This window comes from Homo sapiens, chromosome 12 (assembly GCF_000001405.40).
Source record: "Homo sapiens chromosome 12, GRCh38.p14 Primary Assembly".
Taxonomy (NCBI): Eukaryota; Metazoa; Chordata; class Mammalia; order Primates; family Hominidae; genus Homo; species Homo sapiens.
In genome coordinates, this window is record NC_000012.12 from 129,604,796 (window position 1) to 129,624,142 (window position 19,347).

The 19,347-nt window shown below is 44.2% G+C and overlaps 1 protein-coding gene across 1 annotated transcript in view, besides 1 other annotated feature; it reads right to left on the minus strand.

Annotated features, from left to right (window-relative positions):
- TMEM132D (transmembrane protein 132D) overlaps nt 1–19,347 on the minus strand; it is an 832,300-nt gene that overhangs the window by 533,070 nt on the left and 279,883 nt on the right. The gene's annotated exons all lie outside the window — the stretch shown is intronic.
- Nucleotides 2,289–3,488: an enhancer, noted in NCBI's record as "CDK7 strongly-dependent group 2 enhancer chr12:130091629-130092828 (GRCh37/hg19 assembly coordinates)". NCBI's record gives its function as "activates an origin of replication core promoter dependent on BRD2, BRD4, P300/CBP, MED14 and CDK7 cofactors, with strong dependence on CDK7, by STARR-seq in HCT116 cells {active_cell/tissue: HCT116}" and the evidence as "EXISTENCE:reporter gene assay evidence [ECO:0000049][PMID:35650434]".

Genomic DNA, 19,347 nt, shown 5'->3' on the forward strand with positions numbered 1-19,347 from the left:
GAATTCCAAGTTCCAGTTCCAGAGACCCAGCTAAGACACAAAATTAAGACGCTATTAGCAGACTTAATATTCAACAATACAAATGCATACCTTACTAAGAAAATAGTTTAATTAAAATAGCCTTGGCCTTGAGAGAAGGGGCAGTGAACAAGAGGAGATGCAAGATACTTATTTAGAACCTCTTTCCCACTTTAGTAATCTCTCAGTATGCTAATTTTAGTATTTTCCTGTTCATTGTATAGATATGCATAAAAGTAAGTCACTTACCCTTAAAAATATACTAGTGATATAAATCTGAGACACCTTCGATTTGGCTCATTTTTAAATGTTCTCATCATTGTTCCGGTTTCAGATTTTTTTGTCATGTATTTTGTAGTTTGTGTTCTCCTGTGTGACACCCAAAAACCCATCAGTGTGCCACCAAATGCTTGGGACATGACGGGCATGGTTATCAAACTGATGTGCACTTGTGGGGACATTAGTTTTACCACGGTATTGTAGATTGGCTCATTACTGACTCATGTCTAAAAGATATATATACAAAACACAAAGGAAGAGGCAACTTATTCTCTGGAGAACACCCATGCACCCTACTTTAAATCTCTCACGTTATATGGAAGTTCTATCATCTCTCTCACATCCAGGAAAAAATGGTCTCGTCTGATCTTATATTCTCCTGAATAGTACTTGAATGACACTTGCATCCAGCACTAGAAAATCATACATCAGTTCCCCTTGGAATGATCTTATGCCCCACAAGCAGCCTTTAAATTATTATGGGAAATTAGGCATTATATATATATATATATACACACACATATATATATACACACACACACACACACACACACAAATATACATATACATATATATATATATATTTGTAGATAGAAAGTGTGCTGATGAGCAAATATTCATGTGGAAACCTTGACAGTCATTTTTTCCATTGTAAATTAATAAACTGGCAATGGCGTTTCTCATACATCATTTTTTTCATGGGTCAGAGTTGTGGTTTGCAGTTAACAGCAGCTATATTGCAAGGGACAAGTAAACAAGCTTAGATTCCACAAAGCCAGAAACAATGCAGCCAAGAAAACAGCCAGGAACCTGGCTCAGCCGCCCCATAGAGCTGCTCCAGCTGCAACTCCCCTGCTGTACTGTGGCCTCCAGGGTGGCTGTGTATGCTAGAGAATTAACAATCAACATACCATTGAGGTGGAACAAGAACTTGAACCCTCAGCTACTGTGCTTACTAAAATCAAAAAACAAAAATAAAACAAAAAAGACACTTTCTCTGCACAGTGTATCCTTCACTGGGATGGTGCTCACATCTCTCCCTGGGTCTTCACAGGGGTGCCTTCAGGGTAGAACAGTACCTCGATTCTAGATGGAACCCTAGCTGTGATAGTCTTCGGGAAATGTCATTTTAGTTTCCATCCACTCTAGTTCAGAAAGCTTCAAAGGGGCTTGGGGCAATTGTTGATCGAGCCGGTCCACAGACTCCACAGTCTTCCTTGAGTAGGGCTTGGGGAAATTGACAAAAGATACATGAGGGGTATCTAGGTCTGTCATATGTATGTAGGTAGAGAGTCCCTAAGTTAGCTCAGAGTCTGCCGCAGCCCCGGAGCCACACAGAGAAGCAGCTAAGATCTCTTGCATCCCTGAGATGGTGTGGGCGAGCTCAGTGAGAGAGAGACCTGGCAAGTAACGTAGCAACGATAAGGCTCTGATGTGAGCAGGCAGACAGCTGAGGACCAGGCTGGACAAGATGAACCAGTGACCACACCAAGGTCATCCTCCATCACTCCAACCCCAATACAGGCACTACAGAAAACACCTGAAACTTAGAAGCAACTTTTGGGAAGGATAGGGAGAACTCAGAACTAACAAAAAGACACTAAGTTACTTGTAACTGAGATAATTTTCTGCCCACTTGGGTAGAAAGTGGGCGGCAAGAAAAAAAGTTACATTAAATTGGAGGGAATAAAAACTACATATCTTAAACATCTGAGTATATTATCTGATTCAAGAACTCTCTACCAAAATGCTTGTTATATGATGTAACTCTCAAAATGCTACCTGATTCTAAAGAATGCATTTGCTCATAGAACAGTGAGAGGTGGCAGGTGCATTGTTCATTCTCTTGGATTTCCAACGAACATTTATTATGCTTTTCTGCAATTGTTACTTTCCTTGTCTATCTTGGAAATGAAGAAACTGTGTTCTCATCTCTGTGTCTCCACTGCTTAGTTTCTTTTTCTTTCTTTCTTTCTTTCTTTTTTTTTTTTGAATAGTCACTCTGCAATTGGGGAGGGTCGCAAGATTACCTTGTTCAACAATTTGTTAGAAGAACTCACAGAATGTGGCAAAGCTGGTATCCTCACCATCACAGTTTATTATAGCGAAATGATACCGATTAAAATCAGCAACAAGAAAGAAAAGGTGCTTAGGGTAGGATCTCTGGGAGCCTGGGTGTAGAACTTCCAGTTCTCTCCCAGTGGGTCACGCAGAGTGGGCTCATTCCTCGCAGCAAAAACCTGCGATCGCATGCACAGAGTACTGCTAACTGGGGAAACCCCTCTGGAGCTTGGCATGCAGAATTCCTACGAAGGGTTGCTCCCACGGTCAGGGCTGACCACCTGCAAGGCTGACCTCAACCTCTAGCTCCTCCAGAGATGAGTCAATGTTGGGTGGATCAAGCCTCCACTATAAATTCATTTTTAGCATAGACTATCTGTCTTGGCCCAAGGTCTCCAGATAAACAAAGACACTCTTACAGGCAGGAAATTCCAAGGGCTTAGAGGCTACCACCCAGGAGGCCAGACAAAGGGCCAAGCCTTTTTCTGGTGCAGTTAACCCTTGACTGCACACACTGAGTGTTCATTCAATAAATAGAATGACCGACTACAGGATGAATAGATGAACAGAGACCAATTCCAAAATGAAGACGTATTTTTAAATGCCTTTTTCTGTGTTTTGGAGTACCTGTAGATTTCATACCAGCTTTCCCCCACTACCCTCTAAGATATAGAGGCTGCTTGCTGAGTTTCTCATGGCATAAATCCAGCTTTTAATTCCACCCATCAACTTATAGCATACTTTTCAAGCCCAGAATCACTATTGCTCAAGTGTATTGTACCAGATAATCACACTCAGCCCCCAGTGAATGTGCTGACTGCGGCGGGGGAGGAGCCGACAGATCAGCGTTGTTTCTGTGGAGTCTGTGAAATATTGATTGCTGTGGGGGAAAAACAGATAACACATTGCAAGAAGAATAGAATAATCACCCACAAACCCCTGGCTTTTAAACTAAAATCACTGTGAAGGAACAGCGAAGTGTGTTTTAAGGAGTTTTATCTACCCCTCTTCATCCTGAAGCAGCAGAAATAAGAACTCTGATGTTTACTCACTTGAAGTGCACTGGCTTTTCAATTAACGGACCAGAAGAGTTTGCAAAGACTATCAAAATACCAACTTTTCTGCAGGGAGTGAGCTGTGATGCCCAGACTAGGAGACAGACACTCTCCCTTTAGAAGCCCAACCTAATTTCAGTCTGGACTAGGACTTGTTGCTGTTTTCAGTCTGCAAAAATGAGGCCTAACTATGTAGATGATGAATGAAGGTTCGGTTGTCACTAAAAAGGGTACCAAGGCTCTGAGACAGGTCAGAGCTTAGACAACCAAAGCTCCTATTTGGCAAATATCTGACACTGTTGATGAGAGACTGGCTTGCTCGCTGGATGGAAATGCAGTCAATTTTCTTCTGAAACCTCTAAGCATTCTCCTTGATATCCACTGTTTCTGAAAAAATCATGTCGCGTTTACAGCTAAGAAAGAACCTACATATTCCGTAGAAAAGCAGGTAGCCTCTTTTAATGGGTAAGCCCAAAATATCAAAGTTGATGAAGCCATCAGCTCCGGCCTTTCTCCGTCTGTCATGCTTAGCATCCTCATTTCTTCCTATTCTACAATTACCAAACAAACCTCCTCCTGATTTGGCTGCCAAGGAACCTATAAGAACAGAGCGGTTCTCAAAGTTCACTCGCACTCAAATTGCCTGGTGGCCTTGTTCAAATACAGATTCCTAGGCCCCACCCCAAATTTTCCAGCTTAGTAGGTCTGGGCTCTGAGTTGGGCCCTCAAATTGTTCTTTTTTTTTTTTTTGAGATGGAGTCTCGCTCTGTCACCCAGGCTGGAGTGTAGTGGCGTGATCTTGGCCCACTGCAACCTCTACCTCCTGGGTTCCAGCGATTCTCCTGCCTCAGCCTCCTGAGTAGCTGCAATTGCAGGTGCCCACCAACACGCCCAGATAATTTTTTTTTGTATTTTTAGTAGGGACGGGATTTCACCATCTTGGTCAGGCTGGTCTCGAACTCCTGACCTCAGGCGATCTGCCAACCTTGGCCTCCCAAAGTGCTGGGATTACAGGAGTGAGCCACCATGCCTGGCCAAGTTGTTCACTTTTCATAGGTTCCAAGGTGATGCTAATATTGATGGTTGGGAACCACCTTCTGTGAACCACTATCTGAAAGAGTCATCAACATATCACGAGAAAGAAAATTCTACCCTTCTTAGAGTAGGACATAGTGCTACATAGAGTCTTGCCAAGGACTCATCCCATCCTTTAAAAACCCCCGTGGCATGGTTGGCATCCCAAAAGAGACAAAGGCCTCTTAAAAAGCGACAGGAAAACTGACAATGACGCAATGCCTGGGAAGTCAATCCTGGTCATTAGCAAGGCTTGGACTCAGCCTTGATCAAATCTTGATCAAACCAGGGAAAGGGCTGGTGCTCTCCCAACTGCAAATGCTGGGCTGGCAGGTGAGTGTTTAAGCCAAGGTTCAGCACTACGTTGTTCATGCTCTGGTCCAGACACTGGACAAGGGCCAGTGTCTCCTCATCCCACGAAGAGGTCGGGCCCCTCTTCCCCAGTCAGATGCCCGCCTTTCTGAGCTCTGTATGCTGCCCTGGACAGCAACGTGGAACGGAAACCACACCCCTGTTACCACGTGGATCTTCCAGTAAAAACCCAATATGATTAAAGACACAGACCAGGGCCTCAGGGAACACACTCCCCACTGGGGGTTTATCCCTCAAGCCTTGTCCTAGAAAGGGGCGTGGTCTACATACAGCTCATGACAACAGTGACATCCTCTCTCCTTTAGGACTAAATAAAGTGAAAAGAGAGGGGAAGGCTGGGCACAGTGGCTCACACTTGTAATCCCAACGCTTTGGGAGACCGAGGCAGGAGAATCATCTGAGGTCAGGTGCTCAAGACCAGCCTGGCCAACACAGTGAAACCACGTCTCTACTAAAAAATACAAAACTTAGCTGGGTGTGGTGGTGGGTGCCTGTAATCCCAGCTACTTCAGGAGGCTGAGGCAGGAGAATAGAATTGCTTGAACCTGGGAGGCAGAGGCTGCAGTGAGCTGAGATTGCACCATTGCACTCCAGCCTGGGCGACAAGAGCAAGGCTCTGTCTCAAAAAAAAAAAAAAAAAGAGAGACAGAGAGAGAGGGAAAAGCAGTACATTATTGAATTGATTGAATTGACACGTGCATTATACATTCTTCTATCTTAAACCCTGTACCCCAATCTCCCTAAATAGCTTCAACAACTATATTCCCTAATATATTAAAGAGTCAATTTCCTGTTCTAACATAGGAGCTTCACTTCTACTTTCATCTTGATCACCTACTTCCATAAAGCATTAAAACAACTCAAAATACTGGAGTTTCTTTTTCTAGAAGTCTGGCTCATTCTCGTGGGGTTGGGTTTCTGTTGAAGGTACTCTGAGAAACCACCGTCCAGCCAACTGGCTGGGAGGAAGTAGCCCAGATTGCTTGCATAGAGCCATGTCCAGCATCACTTAAATCGTCAGATTTATGAATATGTGGGCTCTATTCCTTGAATTACAAGCAAGTAAGTAATTGATGATGTTAACATAAAAAAAAAAAACTTTAGAAGGCTGCTCTCTTCTTCCTTAAGTGAATTACGAACTTGTTCCTAGGACATATTAGGAAGTAAACAGCATATAATCGCAGGGATTTACAGGGCAATTAGGTTAAGCACTGCAAAAGTGCATTAGTCTGACACTGCACAAACATTCTGATAACAGACAGATCAAGGCACTGGTCCAAATTGCTCCCCAGAGGGAAGCGTGCATTCACCTAGATCAGGCAGAACCATAATATTCATCAATCCCCAAACTCATGATCTCAGCTGCACCCCAGGAATCCAAAAAAATCTATGGCAGAATTCAAACCAGGATTGCTTGAGAAACATTAGACGCCTGCTTGCCTCACTGCCTTCCTTTCTTTTTCTTCCCTTCTTTATTTTTATTTTTGCATTTACCATGTGTCAGACCCTATCCGAAGCTCTCTCCACATAGTTTAATACTTAGAACATCCTATGAGGTAGGTACTGTAGTGTCTAGATTTTACTTTTAAGAAAACGAAGACATGGAAAGGGGACCTAACTTTCTTTAGCGAGATCAGCTAACTAGTGTATTTTTCATGGTAATTAACACTAGCTACCCTCAGTTTGCATGCGGATTCTGTCATTTGGGAAGAATTCCCTTATCTGTAAATGTCCACAGCTCTTGGCATTTTGAAAGGTTCTTCCTTTTGCTGTGATCCTCCTTGTCTACAACTGAAATGGGGGTTGTGGATATTTTTCCCAGTTACTTCCTTACTCATGGAAGCTTGGGGGCCCAAGGCATATTTTAAGTGTAAGTAGCTTAGCACAACAAACTTTTTCACTTAGAAGTCCAATGGACGTTGACTGGGGCTCTCCTCCATCCAGTGACTTAAGGATCCAGGCTCCCTCTACCTTGTAATGCCACCATCTCAACACAGGGCTTCCAGGTTCACTCCATCATGGGAGGACAGGAATGGAGGAGGCACCCTGATACTGAAGTGCCTTGAACTAGAGATAATTCATCATTGATGCTCACATTTCCATCCGCTACAATGTCATCTTGTGGCCTCAGCCCAATTGTAGGGAAAGTCTGGAGATGTAGGGGAGCACAGGGCTATTGGATGAGCATAAACCCTCAGCAAAGACTGTCTTCCAGCCCCTTCCCACACATTGAGGAATACACTTAACAGCTCCCATTCTGTTCCCACTAAGAGAAACATCCCCAAGTCTCATGCTCTCACTCCATCCAGCTCACAACGCAGACACTGGGCCGTGGCCGGTCGCAGTACCCTATGGAGGTGTGGCTCTTCATAGAAAGGAGACAACTGATCTCCACCCTAGACCCAACATGCAATGGTGGACCAAGGACAGAAGAAGGAAGATGCACTCATTTGCGAAAGGAGAGCTGGGGAGCACACAGCAGACCATGGGCTGTAACATCCATCACATTTCAATGACGGGCCCTGTAAGTTCTCCCTACACTGAGCATGGGGGTGTCCTTGTTCACTGGCTGATCTTACTAAGGGGAGGAATTCCCTGTCCATCACTGCCTGCGGCTCTTTTCTCTGCTCTCCTGCAGCTCTGCCCTTTCCATCCTCCCCCTTGTCAACATCCACAGTGGGTGTAGAGGAAGAAGGAACGCCTCCTGGCCAAGTTGCATAAATTCTGCAGCCTGCTTCTTGCTCCTGGACGCTTGGGGGACCAAGAATTGTTTCACATCTTAAGCAGTAAAAAAATAAAAATAAAAAATCCTGTTAAAACTGGGCTAATGATTTCTTCGACAGGGCAATTTCCTTAAAAGTGTAGTAACGTAGTAGACTTACTCTTACAGGCTTAAAGCTTAGTAACCTTAAAAACGTATTTGCTTCTGGTCTGTTCCATAATCTATTAATTATACCCAGAGTTCTTTTTAAAATATATATATATATATTTCTGAGACTCATCTTATTTCTTTGTTTATCAGTCCCATACTGCTCCCCAAAATGTGGGAAGACATGTTGTTAATTTGGCCCCAGGCAACTCATCTGATGTACGCTTAGTCTGACCTTTTGCCCCTGAATCAAAGACCTGGGCTTTTTGGAAGGCAGAGGTTGCAGTGAGCCGAGATCACGCCACTGTACTCCAGCCTGGCGACAGAGCGAGACTCCGTCTCCAACAAACGGACAAACAAAAAAAGACCTGGACTTTTGTTGCCCAAAGGTTTTGTCAATCTAATATTTTAACATTTCATGTCTAGACAAAGTCTGTTTTTCAACTTTGTAAGGCCCTGAATTTCAGAAATCCCTCTATCCCTCATTTCCTCTTGCAAACACAATTCCGTCCTGAGCCCATCTGTTCTATTTAATAACTTGCCAAACATAAAATACTAACATTCTGATATTAAACCTTTTTTCCTAGAACTACGAGTTGGTTAGGCACAGGGTCCCAGTTGGTTAGACACATTTCAGGAAACAGCTCACCCCGTCACTTTGGCACGTAACTGCCAAGTCACTGCCTTGGTTTAGGTTTTTTTTTAGAAAGCACCTGACTTCTATTATCAATTTCTTAATTTGTCTGGTAATTTAACCTAAATATTATAAGAGATAAACCCCGAATTCCTGCATTGTAACAAAGGTCTCATGTAAGTTGATGGAGCCGCTCCTCTATCCACTGTCTCCTGGATCTGCTCCATCCTCATGCAAACAGAGAATGACAGACACTCTCGTCTCAACAGGGCGTCTTCCCCATTTGCTGTGATTGGGGAAGATAAGACTGGAGAAGGCACACCCATTCTGTCGTGCCCAGGCCCAGCAGCAATATGTCATTTTTGTTCACATCGCTGCTTGACAGAACTCAGTCACATGACCCCAGTTTAAACTATGCAGGAGGCTGCAAATGTCAGGAAGCATACGGATGTGGCTAGTGGGTGTGCCATCGCAGCAACTTCTAGGGAATTGAAAAGTCAGCATCAGAACCGAGAGGACTGTCTCCAGCACCCAGAAGACTGGCTCGAGAACCCAGGCAACTGTCTCCAGAACCCAGGGGACTGTCTCCAGAACCAAGGTGACTGTCTCCAGAACCAAGGTGACTGTCTCCAGAACCCAGAGGACTGTCTGCAGAACCCAGGGGACTGTCTGCAGAACCCAGGGGATCGGCTCCAGAACCCAACCAGCTCCAGAACCCAGGGGACTGTCTGCAGAACCCAGGAGACTGGCTCCAGAACCCAGAGTACTGTCTGCAGAATCCAGGCAACTGTCTCCAGAACGCAGGGGACTGACTCCAGAACCCGGGGGACTGGCTGTAGAACCCAGGCGACTGACTCCAGAACCCAGGTGACTGTCTCCATCACCTAGGCAACTATCTCCAGAACCCAAGGGACTGTCTCCAGGACCCAGGTGACTGTCTCCATAACCTAGGCGACTGTCTCCAGAACCCAGGGTACTGTCTGGAGAACCCAGGTGACTATCTCCAGAACCCAGGGGACTGGCTCCAGAACCCATGCTCTTGAACCCTCTATCAGTGAGGACTGCACTTGTTGCAAACAGCAGAAACCTAAGTAAAGTGGCTTAACCAAAGAGGGACTGATTTTTCTCACATCATTGGATGTCCAGAAGTAAGCTGTTTCTGAGATAGTTCCCATAGCTCAGTGAGCTCAAGGCCAGAGGGACTGATGCCCTGCTGCAAAGAGGACGGGAAGGTGGGTGAACTCTTAGTCATGAATGGCCTGGGTCACCCTGAGTTCATTTGCAAAGGAGAAAGATAATGGAATGCTTAATAACCAAGAGGGTCAGATGCAATCACTCTGCTATAATCCCTCTTAGTTCAAACAGTTCTGTCTGGAGTTTAAATCCCAATCACTAATATCTCTGAAGTATCTTTGCCATAGCGAACGGCAGTCCAAAATTCTTCAAGGAAGAAGCAAAATCTGATCCACTAGTTACAAACTCAGATGTCTACAGAGTCCAGATAAACAGAAGAAATGAGTGAAACCAGGCTGGGCGGGGACTGTGGAAAACGAAGACCCACACACACACGCCCCGCCTAACCACAGCAGCAGCTGTAAGTCACAGCCATGCACACCGGGGAATTCCAGCTCTCCCCGGAATCCAAATGATATGAGAAATGTGGATTTCATGTGATACATCTTGATTCTTAAAAGCTAGCCATGTCTAGTTAATTTTAATGTGCAGGGCAAACTAAATACCTCTCTTTGCCCTGAGAATCTTCCATTTCTAACCTCTAACTGAATCAATACATCTACCCTGGCCCCTGCATTCCGGTATTTATATCTCTTGTAATCAGAAGCACACTTGAATAAATGTCTCATGGATTCAATGACAATAAGCTCCCCTGACATACAATGTTACCTAACAGCGTATTATATGGCAACACAATAGCCATCGTGAGATTGGACACTGCTATCTACTGTCACAGGGCACAAACACAGAACAGGGAAATTTGGATTCTGTCTGGAAATGATACACTGAATTATTTCACTCCTAGGCAGGCTCTAGAACAGGGAAATGTGGATTTTGTCTGGGGATGAATCACTGAATTATTTCACCTCTAGGCAGACTCTGGAGTCCACAGCAACCTCATCATCAGGGATGAATCTTCCGTCAAGCTCACTTCTCCCAATATCTGGCCGTTTGTTTAGGTGAAAGGTTACAAAAGGAGGGTTTTCAGTTCATCGTCACAGATATGGTGACTTTGGCTCAGAAATAGCTTAATTTATAATTACATTTAAATTATATAAAAAAAAAAGTACGGCCGTGAGACCAGGCATGGTGGCTCACACCTGTAATCCCAGCACTTTGGGAGGCCAGTGTGAGAGGATTGTTCGAGCCCAGGAGTTTGGGATCAGCATGGGCAATATAGTGAGACCCCATCTCAAAAAAAAAAAAAAAAGAACAAAAAAACTAAAGAAAAATTAGCTGGGTGTGGTGGTGTATGCCTGTTGTCCCAGCTACTTGGGAGGCCAGGGTGGGAGGATCACTTGAGTCCAGGAGGTCGAGGCTGCCGTGGGTTGTGATCATGCCACAGCCTGGATGACAGAGCAAGACTCTGTCTCAATAAAATAATTAAAACAAAACAAAACAAAACAAAATAAAATAAAATAAAATAAAATAAAATAAAATAAAATAAAATAAAATAAGATAGCTGTGAGAACACAGACTTGCTACCCCCGTCCCAGAGCCAGAACTGGCTTGAGTTGAGTGGCAGCTCCTCTCTTCTCTACTGGCCCCTCCTACATTCCTGTCACCTGCCTGGCCCAGGGAGGCATTCAGATGTGCAATGGCTGGTTTGAAGAAACAGACCACTAAGCAAAGTCAACCATTACAAAACAGGAGAAACAAAACAACACATTAGAAAACAAGAGGCTGAGGCTGGGACACTTTTATTCTACTTCCTTGTTTGGTGGGTAAATACAGAAGAGAGCCAAAATTATAGTTTCACTATAAATGGGATAGATGCCATAATGCCAGAAAACCTGCATGCTGAGACTCACAATGAATTAAGTGAAAGTTGAAGAAGTTGCGGTAGCCTTCAGCCATTTCTGATGCATCAGCGCCCCAATCTCATCATTCAGTATTTGCTTACATGAAACCCAAGGCAGACTGGCATGGAACCAGAGGAGGAATAGATATTATCGGGAGAGGGACACCATGACTGAGGGGTCTTTGGCCTTCTTTTTCATTGAGGGGCACAGTGGTGTGGTTGTATTTGCTGATATGAGAGATGACATTATAGACTTAATTATTGATATGGTTTGGCTGTGTTCCCACCCAAATCTCATCTTGAATTACAGTTCTCATAATCCCCATGTATCGTGGGAGGGACCCAGTGGGAGGAAATTGAATCATGAGGGTGGTTACCCCCATGCTGCTATTCTTGTGATAGTGAGTGAATTCTCACAAGATCTGATGGTTTCATAAGGGACTTTTCCCTCTTTTGTTCGGCACTTCTCCTTGCTGCCGCCATGTGAAGAAGGACGTGTCTGCTTCCCCTTCCATTATGATTGTAAGTTTCCTGAGGCCTCCCCAGCCCTGCTGAACTGTGAGTCAATTAAACCTCTTTCCTTCATAAAGTACCCAGTCTCGGGTACGTCTTCATTAGCAGCGTGAGAATGGACTAACACAATTATGTGCATTGTGTTTTTTGTTATTGTTGAAGTTTGTTCTGTATGAGCAAAAGCTGATGTAAGGAGGCTGAGTAGACAAGGAGATGAAGAACACTGGATTTTGTCGCTGTTGTATATTTGTTTGTGGGTTTTTGTTTCATTTTGTTTTTTGTTTTTTGCATGCATCATTCATGTTCCCTACTTTTGTCTTCCCCAAATCAGCAGGGCTGAAGGCCAGGCAGTGCATTTCTCAGACTCCTGTACTGCCAGAGTTCTGAAAGCAATTTTTATTTTGTCCTTGAGATGCACTCACAAAGAATTTTCTGAATCCCATGGGTGTGAGTGAAGCCTGCAGGTGAGAACTGATGGAGAAAACAAGGCCATGGTACCAACGATTCAGAACCACTGGCTTTGCTTACAAAGGTTAATGGAAAATGAAGAATGGAAAATAATTAAAGGATCCTAAAAACAGAAACCCTAGCCACCTGACTTGGTTGAGTGACAGACATTCCCAGGAAGGTCTTCTCCCACCTACTCAACCCAGTTGTTGTCTCAGGCCTCAGCTTCTCACTTCACCTCCCTGTACCCCAGCTGTTCATCCATGAGATGGTGTCTTAGTCCATTCTGCCCACTTTAACAGAATGCCACAGACTTGGTAGCTCATAAACAACAGAAATGTCTTACTGTTCCGGGGGCTGGAAGTTTCAGATGTGGCAGATCTTGTATATACCATTCCTGAGGGGTCTTGAGGCTTCTTTTTCATTGAAAGGAGCAGCAGTGCGGTTCTATTTGTTGATGCGAGAGATGGAGTCACAGGTGCCATCGATGAACCAGGAGATAAAGTCAAGGTGCTGTCAACGGTGCCTCACACCAGAGGACCTGCTTCCTGGTTCATCAATGTCATCTTCTCACTGCATCCTCTCCTGGTGGAAGGGGGCAGCATCTCTCTGATGCCTCTTTTCATAAGGGCACTAATCCCATTCATGAGGTTCCACCCTCATAATCTAATCACCTCCCAGGGGCCCCGCCACCTAATACATGGGGGTTAATATGAATACTAGGGGGATGCATATATTCAAGACACAGCAGATGGGAATGTGGCTTTGGAAGCAGACTGGCCTCATTTCAGATCTCAAGTCTGATGCTTTCTGGTACCTCGTAGCTCTGTGGCCTCGACATCGGCACTTCACTTGCCTGTGCTTTCACTTCCCAATCCGTGAAATGAAGAAAGCCACAGCTAGTGGGCAGTGTTATGAGGACCAGAGACAACCTAGGGAGCCTGCTAAACACAGAGCCTGGAGGCGTAAAATTTAATTACATAAGCCAACGTGAAATGCCATGAATATAAATGTTACAGATGCGAGGGTCCTATTCCAGTAAGTTTTTAAAAAGATTGTGTGCTCACTTGCTAATCTCTGGACCCAAAATTGTGAGGGTTTTGTTTTTGCTATGTTTTAGAAAATCATAATATCTAAAATCATTCTTAAATTATTAAAGCAAAATAATAATGAGGTCAGAGTAGTAATGCTTCAGCCATCATACCAACATCAGAAAGCAATTGGAACCCTATTCTCTGACAAAATTTACCTGATGTGTTTGTTCGCTTAACAGACATTGCTTTTGCACTATGGTTTTGTACTAGTCAATGTTCCATCCCATGGTTTGGCAAACCTTTTCTGTAAAAGTTGAGTTACTATATTTGGCTTTGTAGACTATATGTTCTCTTAAAACTACTCATTTCTACTACAGATAACCTTCAAAAACCAGAAGAGAAGAGGAATCAAATAGTGAGAATCAAATTCCTTAAAAATTGTACAGCCTTCTGATAAAGTCACTGTGTATTTAAATTATTTAAAATGCACATCTATGTACATACATACAAATACATACTGTGAACCCAAAAGTATTTGAGACAGGTCAGGATCAAATTAGGACATTTATTTTGCCAAGATAAAGGATGTGTCTGTGACATAGCCTCAGGAGGTCCTGACATGTGCCCAAGGCGGTTGGGTACAGCTTGCTTTTATATACTTTAGGAAGACAGAAGACATCAATCTCTACATGTAAGATTTACATTGGTTCGATCTGGAAGGGCAGGACAACTCGAAGCGGGGGCTGCCTGGTCATAGGTGGATTAAAAACTTTCTGATTGGCAATGGGTTGAAAGAGTTGTTATCAGCAGAAAGGAATAACTGGGTTGAGATAAGGGGTTGTGAAGACCAAGGTTTTTTATCATGCAGGTGAAGCCTCCAAATAGCAGGCTTTAGAGAGAATCGATTGTAAATGTTTCTTATCAGACTTAAGGTCAGAGTTGAGGTTAATGCTGGAGGGGATAATGAGGCATGTCCCACCCCTTCTTCCATCATAGCCTAAAATCGATTTTCAGGTTAACTCTGAAATGCCCTTGGCCAAGAGGAGAGGTCCATTCAGATGGTCGAGGGGCCTTCGAATTTTATTTTTGGTGTACAATGCATACATACGCTCAGGAAGAGAATCGATCTGCATCCCTGTTGAAATTCTCTGATAAAAATGGTGCTCTAAAAGGGACAGGTTTTATCACACTGTGATAGCAGAGATCCCCACAGTGCTTTAAATGCATGTGCAGAAATGTCCCTGCCAATGAACGACTTATGACCTAATTAAATATGGGAACACTTAGCCAATTTCCCTATGTCTACATAATTTTCCAAGCTGTCCCTATTCCTAAGGGATTCATTTGTCTCGGGTTATCCACTGGCTCCCCCAGCCCCACCACCCATTTGATTTTTTAACTTCCGCCAAATTGCCTTCATTTAAACTCAATTAACTTTTAACAGAAAAGGTATCACTGTAATCCCATTTGCAGAACTAAATTCTTTTAATGTCCCCATTATAAATTCCTGTTTCCAGTGTTTCAAACATGAGGATCATCTGACATTTGGTTTAAAGGTCTCAATCAGGAGTGTTAATGAAACTCGTTAAACAACACTTCTTTGACTCACACCGAATTTCAGTAATCATTTTCTTCTTAAATATCATCAGAAATAGTTTAAAAGGACATTTCATTTTGCAATTGAGTGTATTATCCTAACAGAACAGGAGCATTCAGGATATGAAAACCAGAGCTTGTCTCTAGAAAGTCATCCAGAATGAGTCCTATTAGGTTACAATACCCTAACCACGGCCCAAAGCCACGCAGCCCAGGTCAGCAGTGTGTCTAAACCATACACATCAATTTCTGCTTCTGTCCCTAAACCTGCTCATCCTCCAAGTGATCCACGGGTTGCTGTCACCACATCGCCAGGGCCATCTTCGATTCTGCACATCCTTTCAAGTCCAAAAGCAGGCTGAAGCTGGCAACTCAACTTGGAAGGTCACCACAGCCACTGCTCTGCCCAAGCTCTGTCTCCTGGAGGCTGGAATTACCGTGGCAGCCACTTCCCTGCTCTTGGGCTTTTGCTTTTGCCCTTGCTAGTGTATTCTCCACACAGAAGCCAAAGACCTCCTTCAAAAATATGTCAGGCCTGCAGAAGCAGTGGCTCAGGCCTGCAATCCCAGCACTTTGGGATGCTGAGGTGGGAGGATCCCTTGATCCCAGGAGTTCGAGGCCAGCCTGGACAACATGGCAAAAGCCCATCTCTGATAAAAGTACAAAACCTAGCTGGGTATGGTGGCACATGCCTGTAATCCTAGCTGCTCGGGAGGCTGAAACTTGAGAATCACTTGAACCCGGGAGGCGGAGGTTGCAGTCAGCTAAGATTGGGCCACTGCACTCCAGCCTGGGTGACAGAGTGAGACCCTGTCTAAAGAAAATGTGGTACATATACACCATGGAATACTATGCAGCCATTAAAAGGAACAAGATCATGTCCTTTGCAGGGACATGGATGGAGCTGGAAGCCACCGTCCTCAGCAAACTAATGCAGGAAGAGAAAACCAAACACCACATGTTCTCACTTAAAAGTGGGAGCTGAACGATGAGAACAGATGGACACATGGGGGAGAAAAACACACACTGGGGCCCTCTTGGGGGATGAGGAAGAGGAAGGGAAAGCATTAGAAAAACTAGCTGATGCACACTGGGGTTAATACCTAGGCGATGGGTTCATAGGCACAGCAAACCACCGTGGCACACGTTTACCTATGTAACAAATCTGCACATCCTGCACATGTATTCCAGAACTTAAAACAAAAATAAAAATAAAAAATAAAGAAGTCAGGTCACATCATGCCCAGATCCAAGCCCGCAGTGTCTTCCCACGTGGTTCCAAGTGGAGGTTGACACCCCTCCATGGCTTTGGTGACCTTCAGTGTTTCTGGCACTCCCACTCCTCTGACCACCATCCCCCATATCCTTCCTCATCTCAGAACAAACACTGTACTTTCTAGAAGGCACCAAGCACACTCAGGCTCCATCTTTGCCATGGCTGTGCGCTCTGCATAGTGTGCCCTTCCTGATTGTCCCTCTCTCCCTTCCAGCTCTCTGTTCCAGGGGGCCTTCCTGCCCAAACAGCACCCGACTGTCCCCACCTGCCATCACCCTGGCCCTCTCATGCTGCCACGATGCTCTCTGGGGAGCTCAGCACCGCCACCCTCCCCCTGCCCCCACTGCCACATGTTGTCTATTCATGCACATTTCTCCTCTCTCTCCACTAGAACGTACACTTGAGGCCAAGACTTTGTCTCTTTACTCACTGCCATATCCCCACTGGCCAAAATGCTGTGCTTGCACCACCGATGCACCCAGTGAATGTTTGATATTAACATTCTCTCCCCACTCCTCTGCCTTGGTGTCCAAATAAAGTGAGTGAATGCTTAGGAAGTGCTAGAGAGTGAGGCAGGTGGTGTCCCAGAGCTTTAAAAGAGCGACATGTTAACTATTCCAACCATTATGCCAGCCTGGTCAATTAACACACTACATCTTCCAGTGGAGGTAGGTACTATCACTATCTCCAACAAAGAGTCTGAGGCACAGAGAGGCTAAATGACTTGCTCAGAGACACACAGCTGTTTACCTGAGGCAGGTTTCGAACCCAGGTGGTCTGGGACTAGAGCCCCAGTGCGGGTGAAACCACCTCCCTTTATGGATGCTCTTCCTTCAAGTTTTTCTTCCTTCTTTTCTCCTTCCTTCCTTCCTGTTACGTCTATGCTATGGTCTGTTCTCTCCCTAGCGCCCATTTGATTTTGGAAAAGGAGAGAAGGTTGTGCTCCTCTCTGGAGGGAAACCCTCAAGTGTTACCCAGTCTCAGTGAGGCAACTTCCTTTCGCAAAAAGAGCCTCAGTAGGTACGTGGGGGAACTCTCTCTTCTCAGAGACACACATAAAATCCAGGGAAAGTGGAAATGGTTGAAACAATAAGTGAATCGTTAGGCCACACAAAGTCTGCATTTCGAAACGGATGAAAAAGCAGAAGCCAGCAAGAGTCCACAAGCCCCACTCGTCCACTAGCCCCACAGGCATAATCTGGAGAGACCAGGGAGCTTCGGTGTGGGCGATGACGAGAAGATGACGTTGCTGTAATCGGCACCGACAGTGGGCGCGTATGGGGCAGTCAGCACGCAGGAGGGGCTCTTACGCCTTGGCAAGGGTCACTAGGGAATCCTTGGATATCTAATATATAATGCAAGAAATTGAAATGTGGATAAATTTTGGGGAACGTATACCTAGGTAGAGGTTCAAGGAAAAGTCCAGCTGACCGACTATATCCTACATCCTAGCCAGATCTAACTTCTCTACATATAGAAAAGTCCAGGTCACCACTCACCTCCCCCAGGAATATGTCCGTAACTATATCAGCAAACAGGGCTTTCCCTCTGCTCTGAACTCTACTATATGGTGTTATACAAGCCGGAGCTCTTTTCTGTTTCTGCAGTGCAGACATGCTTGGTTTCATCTACGTAGAACCTGGCGGGGACCATCCACTTCTTTTCCATGTGGTCCCAAAGGGGCTGTCAATCATAGTGCCCTTCCCACCAGCCACAGGAGTGATCATGTGACTTTGGGTGGCCAATTAGAGTGACCCATTGTCATTGCCATGGTGATTGGTTCATACATGGGCAAATGAGCCAATCAAGGATGCTAAGATCCCTCCTTTAAACTCTCAGTTAAAGCTAGTGTGGTAAACCTGGTTTTGGCTAATGGGGGAATACAAATTGGGGCTGGAGGTGGCATCTCTCCAGATACGAGGTAATGTAAGTTCATCCGCAATAGAAGAAAATGGGAATAACACATAGAGGAAATCAGAGCTGAGAGGGAGGGGGAAGGGGAGAGAGAGATGGAGAGAAAGAGACTGAGATTTCTAAGGATAGCATTGGATTCATGGGATTTACTTGTCCCTGAAGCAAGGAGCATGCTTTTTGCTTAAACCAGTCGGATTTGAGTTTTCTCTCACAGATAATATGTAACAACAACCAACTACCTTAACTACACATTTTATTTAGCACTTTTTGTTACTGTGTTGTTCCTCTGGGTGAATTCTTTGCTTTTTATTTTGTATTTTATTTCAATAGCTTTAGGGGTACAGTGGTTTTTTGGTGACATAGATGAATTATATAGTGGTGAAGGCTGGGCTTTCACTGGACCTGTCACCCAAAGAGTGTGCAGTGTACCCAGTAGGTGATTTTTGTATCCTTCATCCACCCTCCCCTCTTCTGAGTCTCTAATGTCCATTATACCACTCTCTATGACTTTGCATACCCATAACTTAGCTCCCACTTGTAAGTGAGAACATGTGGTACTTGGTTTTCCATTCTTCACTCAGGATAATGGTCTCCAGTTCCATCTAAGTTGCTGCAAAAGACATTATTTCATTACTTTTTTATGGCTGAGTAGTATTCCATGGTGTGTGTGTGTATGTGTGTATATATATATACATATATATACACATATATATACATATATACATATATATACATACATATGCATATATATACATACATATATACATATATATACACATATATATACACACATATATATACACATATATATATATTCCACATTTTCTTTACCTACTTATCAGTTGATGGACACTTAAGTTGATTCCATATCTTGGCAATTGTGAATTGTGCTGCAATAAACATACACATGCCAGTGTCTTTATTATATAATGATTTATTTTCCTTTGGATAGATACCCAGTAGTGGGATTGCTGGACAGTCGAGAAACTCACAATACACTTTTGTATAACTCTCCATCTTAACCCTAGCGCACAGCACAATGTCATGCCTATAGGCCATTCCTAAATCAAATATTTGGTTGAATAATACATGAGTGACTTAGTCATATCCCCTGCCTTTGTTTATCTTGTGTTGCTGGGAAAACTATAGAGCAGAGACTACATAAGTCTCT